The sequence below is a fragment of the Homo sapiens genome, chromosome 7 (assembly GCF_000001405.40).
Source record: "Homo sapiens chromosome 7, GRCh38.p14 Primary Assembly".
In the NCBI taxonomy this organism is placed as follows: Eukaryota; Metazoa; Chordata; class Mammalia; order Primates; family Hominidae; genus Homo; species Homo sapiens.
The window spans coordinates 42677160-42690300 of NC_000007.14; the positions used below are offsets into that span (position 1 = coordinate 42677160).

Sequence of the window (13141 nt, forward strand, 5' to 3'; positions counted from 1 at the left end):
AGAAAAAGTCTAATGGATGTCTTATTACATATGAGGCATGTATGTGTCCTTACATGTATTCCTTACATGTATACCCCAGCTCATCTCAAAAAGGTTGTATGCAGCTGCAGAGATGCATAAAACACAACAGAACAAAGATAAGACTCAGAAAAAAACCTATCTGGTACTATAAAGATACTGCAGATACATCTGAAGATTTTTGAGCAAAAGAGTGACATGATGAAAAAACATGTTTTAGAAAGATGGAGAAGATGAAGAAGGCTTTGTGGAACACGTATCAGGACTAAGTAGTGGAAATGCTTATAGGATGTAGATGGGCTTTGCTGTTCTGCTAAAGCAAGGCACAATGTGTTCAAGAAGACACACTTGAGGGCTACTACTCTTTTCCAATGTCAGGTCTCAAATATTAATGCCTGGGCAATTTCCTGCATAATATACTCCACAGAGTCAGCAGTGTTGTACAGGTGAGAATCACTGGGCAGGCATTGGATGATAGCAGTCAAAATCTGGGTGCTTGCTAATTGTACTTTAATATGAGAGAGAGAGCACGAGAGAGAGAGAGAGAGATCACACAAATGAATCAGCACTAACTGCACTCTCACCCAAGCTCTGCCCAAAGGCAGTCCTTGCCAGATAACCAGCACTATATTAGATTTTGAAAAACAGTGCAGCAGTGTCAGCTTCCATGATAAATCATCCTTTCAGGCTCTTAGAGCAGAACAAACACCTTGACTTTCCTGCCATGGATGATGCTTGCTCTCTCTCAAGTCCTGAGTCACCCTGGAGCATCTCCAAATGTGGACTCAGAGGCAGTTAGAAGATAGTCAAGAAAGCAGTGGCACCAGGCTGACATATTTCTGGGGAGTCGAAGCTGGACTGTCTAATTATCCTTCACCACACTCCGTGGAGCTCTCTGTGGTTCCCAGCCTGACTGCCTTCAAATGGTACCAGGCAATCCCCTGGAACTTTTTGCAGCTATTCCTTACAGCTGTGAAGACAGCTCTTTGGGTGATATCCAGCCTGCTGAATCATTCATTTCCTGTTCTTGATCTCAGAAAGTTCTGTTTGATGTTGTTTTCTCAAGACCATCATTTTAAAGGAAGCAATATTTTATATAATGCAGCTTTGTGGGCTTAGGCACTAAAACCAGATTATTTTGAATATGGCTTACCCTTATAATCATTTTCCTATGTAGAATTCTGGGTGCTGAGAATAACTCTACCATGATCCTCCCATGACATGAGGATGTTGGATGTTATAGGCAGGATTCCCAGTTCTGTTTACGCTATAAAGTTGAAGACATTGCTCAACTTGTCAGTAACAAGTCAGGAGAAGTTGCCATTTGTAAAAGTGTCAGATGTATTTGCTAGTGCAACCCAAGAATCTGCTGTGTGGGTGTTTCCAAGACTTCCATCTTATGAGAGCACTCTTCTCTTTAATGTTAAAATAAAAATGAGTTTATTCCCCATCCCTCACTTAGTCAACTCCCTGCATTTCTCAGGAATCTCAGGGACTTTCCATTTCTCACAGTTACTCCCTCTTCTAATATCCTCCTTCTGTTTAACTATCTTTCACTTGGATTCTCAATGCTTACATCTGCTATTTCTCTCCACTCTGCATCAAACGAAATGTGAAAACATGGATGCTTTTCCATGATTAAAACTGTTAATCAACTTTAATGTTAAAGTTCTTAACTTAAACAACTTTAATTTTGATAAAACTACCATCTTTGGGTAGTTTTAACAAAATTTATTAAGGAGTCAGAGGTAAAGGAGCATATGACTGAACACTGCCTATTAGTCCATATGCGACCCTCCTGATCCTAGAAGTCTCCTGGCCATTTCCCCCCGGGAAGCATCTCACTGGCTGACCCCTGCCTTCTACAGCCTTCCATGCAGCTGGCCCTGCTTCCTGTTCATCCAGAGCCCTCTCACTCTTTCCTTCTTAAGTTACCATGAAAAATTTAAATGCTCCTTGTTTTAATCGGCAACCAATATAGTGCTCTTTGTCTTACTCTTCCTCCCTCTAGATCAAGGTCTGGGGTCTATTTCCTCACCAAAAATTCAACAATAATCAATCATACTGCCAGACAAACTTTGTTTCCCTACTCCTACCTCCTACATTAGTCGTAAAATTATTAGATTTTAAAACATTTAGATACTGTAATGTATCTACTCTCATTAGAAATCAGATAAAGAACACAGAAGGACTCAGTTTCAAAATACTGTAATGTATCTATTCTCATTAGAAATCAGATACAGAGCACAGAAAAATTCAGTTTCAAAACTTATTAATCTCTATTATGAACAATTATATGCCAATATATTTAAAAACCTAGAGGAAATGGCTAAATTCCTGGACACATACAACCTGCCAATATTGAACCAAGAAGAAATAGCAAGACTGAACAGACCAAAAACAAGTAATGAGATTGAACCAGTAATAAAAACTTCCCAACAAAGAAAAGTCCAGGACTGGATGACTTCGTAGCTGAATTCTACTGAACTCTTAAAGAATTAATACAAATTCTTCTATTCTAGGAGGCCAGTGTAACTTTGATACCAAAACCAGACAAGGACACGAAAATGAAAGAAAACTCTAGACCAATATCCCTAGTGAACATAGAGACAAAAATTCTCAACAAAATACTAGCAAACTGAATCCAACAGCACATCAAAAAGATCACACACAATGATCAAGTAGAATTCATCCTATGGATGTAAGGATGTTTCAACATAAGCAAATCAATAAACACGATACATCACATCAGCAGAATTATAAGGACAAAAATTATATGATCATCTCAACAGCTGCAGAAAAAGCACTTGACAAAATTCAACATCCCTTCATAGTAAAAACCTTCAATAAATTAGGTATAGAAGGAAAGTACCTCAACATAATGAGGGCCACATATAACAAACTAAAATCATACAGAATGAGAACAAAATCTTACCACTCTTATTCAGTATAGTACTAGAAGTCCTAGCCAGAGCAGTTAGGCAAGAGAAAGAAATAAAGGACATCCAAATTGGAGAAGAGGAAGTCAAAATGTTCCTGCTTGCAGATAAATGATCTTATACATAGAAAAATCTAAAGACTCTACCAAAAAACTCAGAACTGATAAACGAAATCAGTAAAGTTGCAGGATACAAAATCAACAACAAAAATCAGTGGCATTTCTATATAGAGACAACAAACTAGCTGAAAAAAAAAATCAAGAAAGCAACTCCATTTACAATAACTACAAAAATAATAAAATATCTAGAAAAAGAATTTAACCAAGGAGATGACAGATATCTACAAGGAAAACTATAAAACACCGATGAAAGAAATTGAAGAAAACACAAAAAAATAGAAAGACATCCATATTCGTGAGCTGGAAGAATTAATATTGTTAAAATGGCCATACTAACTAAAGTGATCTTCAGATTCAATGCAGTCCCTACCAAAATACCACAGAAATAGAGAAACATAATACTAAAATTTGTATGGAACCAAAAAAGACCCTGAATAGCCAAAGTAATTCTGAGCAAAAAGAACAAAGCTGAAGGTATCACATTACTATTCTTCAAAACATACTACAAAGTTAGAGTAGCCAAAACAGCATGGCACTAGCATAAAAACAGACACACAGGTCAATGGAACAGAATAGAGATTTCAGAGATTAATCCACAGATTTGCAGCCAACTAATTTTTGACAAAGGCACCAAGAACACTCACTGGGAAAAGGACAGCCTCGTCAATAAATGGTCCTGGGGAAACTGGATATCCATATTCAAAGAATGAAACTAGATGCTCACGTTTCACCCTATACAAAAGTCAACTCGGAATGAATCCAAGGACTAGATGTAAGACCTGAAACTATAAAGCTACTAGAAGAAAACATGGGGGAAATGCTTCAAGACATTTGTCTGGGAAAATATTTTATAAATAAAATCTCAAAAGCACAGGCAACTACGGCAAAAATAAACAAATGAAATTATATCAAATGAAAAAGCTTTTAAACAACATAGAAAACAATCAACAGAGTGAATGGACAACCTACAAAATAGAAAATATTTGCAACTATTCATCTGACAAGGAATTAATATTCAAGATTATACAAGCAACTCAAACATCTCAACAGAAAAAAAAAAAAACTAAAGAAAAGCCTGATTTAAAAATGGGAAAATGATATGAACAGATATTTCTCAAAATACAGAAATTTTCAACAAATATATGTAAAAATGTTCAACATCATTAATCATCAGGGAAATGCAAATCAAAACTACAATGAGATATCATCTCATCTCAGATAAAATTGCTATTGTCAAAAATACAAAAATAATAAATACTGGTGAGGATGCAGAGAAAAGGAAACTCTTATACACCACTGGTGCAAATGTAAACTAGTATAACCCTTATGGAGAACAGTGTGGAGGTTCCCCAGAAAACTACAAATAAAACTACCGTATGATCCAGCAATCCCACCACTGGCCATTTATCCAAACGAAAGGAAATCAGTATATCAAAGACAGGTCTGCAGCCCCATGTTGATTGCAGCACTGTTCACAATAGTCAAGACATGGAATCAACCCAAGTGTCCAACAACAGATGCATAAAGAAAATATGGTATATATACACAATGGACTACTATTCAGCCATAAAAAAGAATAAAATTCTGTTATTTACTGCAACGTGGATGAAACTGGAGGACATTGTACTAAGTAAAACAAGCCAGGAACACAAAGTTAAATACTGCATGTTCTCACTAATATGTAGAAGCTTTAAAAAATTAATTTCATAGAAGTAAAAAGTAGAACAGAGCATATTAGAGGCTGGGAAGAGTAGGAGGGAAGAGAGGATAAGGAGAGATTTGTTAAAGGGCACAGAATTACAGCTAGACAGGAGGAATAAATTCTAGTGTTTTATAGAATATCACTATGTGCCCCATAAATATGTGCAATTATTGTGCCAATCAAAAATAATTTTTTAAAAAGAAAATTATTGCTCTTGTATTTATTCTAAAAATTTTATCCATTTGACTTGGAAAAAATAACTCTTGTTTAAACTATTTTTTTCTGGCTCCCCTTTGGGGGTAATGAATCAGCAGCCATGATCACTGGACATGTGTGTGGACAGTGATATCCTCTTTGGGCAAACAAGAGACCAGCTCCCAGTGAAACCAGTCAAACCCTCTTCTTTGTAGACCACAAAAGTGTCCCTGCTCTTCCAGTATGTGTGAGAGAAGAACACACAATGCAATATAGCACCTGCTATGCTAAACATGTTCAACACACATCCACTGAGAGAAAGGACAGATCAGATCTTTCTGAGGGTTTACTAACAAAGAAGTGTTACTAAAAATGTAGATAAAAGAGCCATCAGTTTGCAAGTAGGAATCATCCCTAAGAGAGCAATCCCAACATGGATGACTGGTGCCATTTTGTGGTCAAACTTTAACTGGTTGAAGACAAAATGAGAAAAGTAACTATAATATTGTGTTTTCAAATACATACATGTAAACTTCCCAACTCTGGTAGTAGACATAATACTATGGCATAAGATGTGGCTGTCTCTCTATTTTACCTTTTTAGTGTTATAATGTTCAGTATTAAATAAAATAATGGTAATTCTAGATTGTGGTTTAGTAGGATTTTTAAAAATTATTGTAGTGAAGCAAACTATGTCCTCAATTTTAAGGCATGATACGCAAATATCTGGGAACTTGTTCTCTAGAAACATGTTTGAGGGGTTAGGAAAAGAAACAAAATAAAACATCAACATAAATCTTTCAATCCCCTAGAAATTGTAGAAAACTTACAGAGGGCTTTACTGAAGTCAGGACCCACAAGAACTGCACAGAAAGCTGAGAGACAGGACACACCTCTCTCTCAGGGTGAAGGGTCTGGAGAGAGGACACTGGGACCCCCAGAGATCTGGAATCAGTATCCTTTCCAGTCTGTGCCTCACTCATTATTCCCTTCACCCTACACTGCCAACACTCTCATCCCCCACTGCAGATTTGCATATTCTTCCTAGGAAGTCTGGGGAAATTTTAGATGCATAGAGAAAAGAAGATACAATCAGTAGGTTTCAACTATGTACTTGAAAAAAAAATGGCAGCACTAATTGCAGAATGAGAGAGACCCCTCTAGACTGTGTCTGTTCTCACAGTAGCAAGAGTGATCTCTGGAATTGAGAATGCTCTCCTGCAGTCCCAAGCCTACTGCCAGGACACATGGATGTGATTTTGGACAGTGAGCTGGCTCCTCAGGCAAATAATTTTTCTAACAAATTCTCTCTCTTTCTTTTAATTTATCTGATCATTGAGGAGATATCAAATTTTTATTACATGTAAATCTAAAATGCATATGAAATTAAGAGTTAGACAAGTGCTTTATAAGTCTTGGGTCTATGAAGATGAAGACAGGTAATACAGAATTTCAGTCTTGAAGAGATCCTGGGAGATTTCATTACAGATGAGAAACTGTGGCACTTAGAAGTTACGTAATAAACCAGGATGCCCAGCTCACTAGATGAGAACTTTTTGCCTACTCTTATTTGCCTTATTTGTCAAGCATATATTTTTCCAGGACATAGATTTATCATATTCTTAAGAACATATGCCTTTTAATTCATCCTGTGTTTTAAGAAAGTATAATAGGAAATGTTTATATTCTGAAATTTCCCAGTTTTGATTCTACCTTATGGATTTAGAAAATAAGAGTAATAAATTATAGCCCGCATATCATGACTTTGTGTCTAAGTGTTGATTTTAAATTGTTTATTTCTTCCTTTATTCATACCTTTATTCCTCCCTGCACACCCATTTTTGCTCATAAGCAAATTGCATATTACATTCACATTTGATGAGATCAACCCATGATTAGTTAATCAAATATACATGTAGATCATGTATGTAGACTCTATTTTGGAAGTTTGAAGAAGAAGAAGAGACAGCATTCAAAGGGAAGACAGCATTTCTTACAATGCAAGTGTCTCAAACTTCCATTCTTTTTCAGTTTGGGAGGAGGGAAGCTCAAAGGCCTGCACCTAGCTAGGTCAGTTTCAGGATTTCTGCATGTTGACAGATTCTAGTGCTTGAGGGTACTATGCATGGAACTAAATCATGGATTCTAGAAATAGTGTCCTGAAGCAATAAAAGACGAGAACAATGGCCAGATATCCGAAAGCATGCCGACTACCTAAGGGTGCTAAATGAAGAAAGGAATCGAGAAACCATGAGGCTGAAGATAGAGGCAGAGGGAGGTAAGACTGGGGAATTCCAGAGCAGCGCAAGACATGAGTCCCTGTGGGCATTGCCGCCAGCTTGCCGATACATTAAAGAGGCTGAAGCAGAGTAAATAGGGAACGGTTTAGGGTGGCAAAATGCTAGTAGGAGGAGATTTGATCAAAAGCAGAGGTGAAGGAGGCTGTCCTTAATCAACAGAGAGGATATTCCACTCTATGGGATTCAGGCAGCTAGAGGGATTGATGTGGTTGCACACAAATTTGAAGATGAAAGGGAGATGAATGATGAAGCCATTCACATCATTTCCCTTTCATTTCCTTGATACAGTTGGAGGCTAGGCCATTTGTGTAGGGTGCTGGTGAGGACTAGGCAGGGGAGAGAGGAGCATGGTGAAGCCTTGCTTGCTGCTACAGGTTGCTTCCAAGGAGAGGAGAAAGACATTCCAAACAGAACTGTGGGCTCAGCTGCTGCTGCAGACCACCGATGTGCCATGACACTGATCCACACAGGTGTGGGGCTTCTCCAGGAGAGCTCAGATACAGGAGTGGGGACGACCTCCTCTGGATCAGTTTGGGGATTGATCCAGACTTGGGAAATTTTCAGGACAGGCTTTCTAGAGAGATGAGGGTCTAGAGAGAGTACAGGGTGCTGACTACTAGGAGTGAAGGAAAGAGGGGGCTGGAAATGTGTGGTTAGAAGGTTGATGCAAGAGGAGTGAGTGTGAGTTGGAGTGAGAGGTGTGTGAGAATGCAGTGGAGTGATGCCTGGAGTAGCTCTGGTGGTGGTGGATGAGGGAAATTGTAAGAACAGTGCTTAGCATGAATGAGTTTCATGAAGATCAAAATCTCCCAGATAATAGAAGAAATTTAGTTAACGAGGAAGACTATGAATCGGGCACCTCCAACTTCAAGGAATGTAATGAAGCAGCAGGAAGGGGGAAAGCCATTGAAATTGAATACGAGCTTCAAAACAAAGGAGCTTTTGCATAAAAAATTACAGGAGGGATGCAATTATAGTAAAGACAGGGAGGTGAAGTAGAGGATGACTGAAATATTGTGAAGGGAGAAAGGGTTATGTAACCAATGTGAGCCTTCAAGAAAATGTAGCTTATGGGATGCAGACTCTAACCCCACCTGCTCACTGCTGACTGAGTTCCAAAAAAAAGTAAAAAACAAAGGTAGCCTCTTAAGAGTAAATCAGCTTGATGTACACGTTCTTCTTCCTATGTGAACAATTGGTTCCCTGGATCATAAGTCCCCCGTGTTAAGGCAAGTCAGGTTGGTCTTTGGTTTTATGCAGCATCCATCCATCTACTCTATCAGTCAGTCTGAATAGAGCACCTTTTCTATGCCAGGTATTGTGATGGGGGCTGAGGAAATTGTTTGAAATGAAAATAGAAGTGACCCTTCCCCTTATAGCAATTCCGGTCTAGTAGAAAAGACGTGCATGAAGCAAAGGGTCACCCTCCAAATGAACAATTACCACTATGATGAGGTCAACCCAGGAGTTACAGGTACAGTGAGAACGTGCGATGTGGGATGGACCTCATAAGAGGAGTTGGGATCATCCTCCCCAGGACACAGCATTTGAGCAACACGTGGGAGCTCATCACAGCAGAGTAGCCTAGGAGCGGTCCAGCGTAGGCAATGGCCCTGTGTGCATGTGTGGGGTGGGGAGTGTGAGCACATCACAAAAGGAAAGAAGGCCAGCGCTCCACAGTCCCAAAACAGCGGGAAGCACAGTGCCAGGAGAGCAGACAGCACCCTGGAGGCCAAATAAAAAACCTGGCATATGTTCCTGAGAGTAATGGGAAGTGATTGAAAGGTTGAGAACAAGGGAATGACAAAATTAGATTTGCTTTGAAACGATCGTTTCAAATACTCAGTGGAGAATGGACTGGGGGGAGAGGGGAGGAGAAGGTAAGATTAGATATGGAAGATCAGAGAGGTTCCAGTAAAGAATGAATGATAGGAGGTGCAGAGAGCACTGAGAAGAGCACATGGCGTACGCCAAGCACTTGACAAATGTTAGCTATTAGACCTATTTAGATTTCAAAAGAAGGGCCCCAGAATGGCAAGATAGCTTAGGACCATGTCAGCTACGTGTTTATTCCTTATTTGCATATTATATCTATTTTTCCATTAGCTTCTAAAGTCAGTTTCTAGAAACCTGTCTAGTCAAAGTATAAGGATTTTTTAAATAGAGCCGGAACAAAGGAAGGTAACACACGAAATGTGTTTAACTCGCCCCTTGCTTATTCTTTCAACTTTTAAAAACTTAAAATAGTTTCACCAGGCCCTGGTCTTGCTCCTAAGTAGATTCGTGTCCCCATGGCTGCCTCTCAGACCCGTAAATTCCTGCCGGTGCCTCAGGATTCCACAGGCTTCTTTACCGCTGCCCCCCTCGGCTTCTCTCCATGAGGCCTTCTTTAATGCTGATGAGTTTCATTTCAATTACTGTCCCTTTCATCTCAAACACCAGTGAGGCAGAAGCAATGTATAAAGTCAAATTGTTTCTTTGAAAACTAGAATTTATTGTGTCCTAGTGTCACTTTTATTAATCGTTGAAAGTTAATGGTATCCAGACCAACAGAATTTTGTATAAACATTTAACTTTTTTTTCATCAAAGAGAAGCCTCTCTGACATTCTATATACGGCGATGTGCCTTCTGTTGCAGACTAGTTACACGTAGTAGATTTATATACACTGAAGAACCTAGGAATTTGACCCTTGAATAACATCACTAAGAAAAATCATGTTCAGATCAGGACAGAGCGGAACCTACCATACAGGTAACTGGGAGTCTTTTAAACACTGCCTGCTTGACTCCCACTTTACCTCCTGGGGGATCTTCCACACTTCTGTCCCCGTTACACAGGCTCAAGTTGTGTTGGCCATAATGGACTTTCAGGAAAAGAGCAATCCTCTTTCTTGGATTCAGAGCCAGATTCACTTGGAGGGAAGCATAGAAAATTATCCTCTAGATAACATGAGGAGAAGAAAAGTAAGATGCCTTTTGCTTTATTTTTGGCCTAAACTATTTGGAGAAAAATTCCTGGGAAGATATCAAAGGAACCCTAACTTCAACGTTAGAAATATTTTAGCAAAACATGACACCCTGGGGAACAAGAAGTTATTCCGGAGGCATAATTTCTCCCCAGGGTAGGCAGAGTCCTTATAATCATTGCCCCCAAGAGGGTCTTGTACCTTGTGATTTGAGAATAAATTGAGAACAAATCTTAGTAGTTAGGATGAATGCCAAAATTCACACCAGTCACTCCTGACTTTTCAGAGAAGCATGTGGATTTCTTGCACACTTAATGCGTTGATCAATTGCCTGCCTGCGTGCATCTCAACAGACGCTTAGTTTTCATTATAGATGTAGCATTGCCCATTCGGCTCTGTTCTCAAAATTGGATTGTGAAAATAATTCTTAGCAATGCTGCTTTAATTTATCTACAGAAACTTCATAAAAGCCATTTTATTAGATGAGCCAGAGTCATACTCTATGTCTGATGTGCTGCACGTGGCAAGCAGCATGATTTATATCCTGGTGCACAGTCTGCCATAGGCAGGCATTTTAATGCTATGCCGATTATTTAGATGTATTCAGAATCTTGCCCTTTCTTGCCAATGGACACTAAGCTTTCTCCAAGAGCTTTATGTATGTGTCAAGATATTCTTTCCCTCTGAGAGATGCCAAAACCAGATTTATCCCCAAGGTTAAAGAAATGAGGGAGATGTCCTTTGCTTTTCTCCACTTCTTACTCCCAGAAAATAATTCATCTACATCCACACAGAGACAGTTCTTGGCATGAACAAAGGTGTCCCAAGGGAAACCAGGAGGCATCCATGCAATTGTTCGTGATTGTATCATGATGTATTTAGCATATTGGCTGACGTTTAGGTTTAAACACTAGTCTGACCCAAAATAAGGCAAAACAAAACAAAATTTGTAAATATTCACTCATGTTTTTATCATACTTTACAAAATGGGTTGAAAATGGAGTGACAAATGTAGAACTTGCAAAATGTCGATATAGTCCAGCAGGTAAAGAAATCTAATATCAGAAATTTTTTTTTTTTTAAAGCCATGTACCAGCTTTTTTCCAGTTAAGTTTCTCTGATTTTCTTCCTTGAATCTGAGATAATTTGTATATAAAATCTATCTTCAATCACATAAGCAGAGTCTTTTTGTTGTCGTTGTTGTTTTTGGTTGTGAAAAAAAAAGATTTTTTTTCTTTCCCCTTTGCCACTTATATAGCAGATGCTTCATGCTAACATTTATTTCAACACACATCCAGGCATGACTGGGCTTCAAGTAGGTAGAAGCAGGAAGGATGGGGTTAACAATGTATGGAAGCTATTACAGTGCAGATAATATTTATGGAATGTTACTTTTATCTCTCTCTTGCTTTATTTCTTTATTTAAGATTTCCCTTAAGAAAACTGTTTTGAGATCGGTAATGATTTCACTATGTATGAGCATCTCATATGTGTAACTCTCAGGTGAATTGTCCCATTCAGTCAATGATATTTTTAAGTGCAGCTGTCATTGTTTACAGAGAAAGAAGATATATAGTCACAAATGTATTAAACAGATCTATTAGGCAGAAGCAACCTGGAACATAATCTGAACTTACTGCCTAGAATCATCTCTCTCTCCCTTAGAGGTGGGCCTGTGCTATAATTCACATTGGTGGGGCTTGAGAAATAAGGAGGGATGGACCAGGTGCCAAACCTGCCAGCACCTTGATCTTGGACTTCCCAGACTCCAGAACTGTGAGAAATAAATTTCTGTTGCTTCTAAGCTACCCAGCCTATGGTATTTGTTACAGCATCCCAAATACACTAAGACATAGATCAATGGAATAAAACAGAGAGTCCAGAAGTAGATGCATACACGCATGGCCAATGGATTTTCAACAAAGGCACCAAGACAATTCATGGGATAAATAATAGCTTTTCCTACAAATGATGTGGCAACAACTATTTAATATATATCCATATTTTTAAAAAGGAATCTCAACCCTTATTCTCATACCATACATAAAATTTAACTCAGAATGGATCATAAACCTAAACATAAGAACTAATATATAAAACTGCTAAAAGAAAATACAGAAGAAAATCATCATGTAGAGAGCATCAAAGATTTCTTAGGACACAAACCATTAAATAATGACAATTGGATTTCATGAAAATTAAAAACTCTGCTTTTTGAAAATATTGTTAAGAAAATGAAAAGGCAAGCCACAATATATTTTTTAAAACTCAACAACTAAATTAGACAAACAACATAACAAAGAATGAGGAAAATATTTGAACGGACACTATACAAAAGAAAATAATCAAGTGACTAATAAGCACATGATGAAATGCTCAGTGTCAGTAGTCACCATGAGACACCACTTCACACTCCCTAGAATGAGTAAATAAAAAAGATCAACAATACCAAGCATTGGAGAAGATATGGAGCAATGAGAACTCTCCTACATTGTTGATCAGAACATAAAATGATACAACCAATTAAAAAAGTTTTAAAGTTTCTTGCAAAGTTAAACACACACTTTCCATACAACTGGCAATCCCATGCCTAGCTATTTACTCAAGGGAAATCAAAACACTGGTCTATAGGAAGACTTGTACATGAATGCTCACAGCAGCTATAATCATATTAGTCAAAAACTGGGAGCAATCTAATGCCCATCAGCATGTAAATACATGAATTATGACACATCCATACACGGGAATACTAGCTAGCAATGAAAAGAAATGAACAACATGGATGAACCTCAAAAACTTGCAGAATGACACAAGCTAGATACAAAAGGAGTACATACTATCTGATGCCATTTGTACGAAACTCTAGGAAGGCCCAAAGCAATCTATAGTGATAGAAAAGCC

General features: G+C 38.3%; 1 long non-coding RNA gene across 1 annotated transcript in view, besides 1 other annotated feature; it reads right to left on the minus strand.

The window, feature by feature from the left end:
• LINC01448 (long intergenic non-protein coding RNA 1448) overlaps window positions 1-13141 on the minus strand; it is a 44722-nt gene that overhangs the window by 15434 nt on the left and 16147 nt on the right. The gene's annotated exons all lie outside the window — the stretch shown is intronic.
• Window positions 9396-9944: an enhancer, noted in NCBI's record as "OCT4-NANOG hESC enhancer chr7:42726154-42726702 (GRCh37/hg19 assembly coordinates)". NCBI's record gives its function as "activates a minimal SCP1, AML or CMV promoter by ChIP-STARR-seq in naive H9 embryonic stem cells {active_cell/tissue: H9 hESC(naive)}" and the evidence as "EXISTENCE:reporter gene assay evidence [ECO:0000049][PMID:30033119]".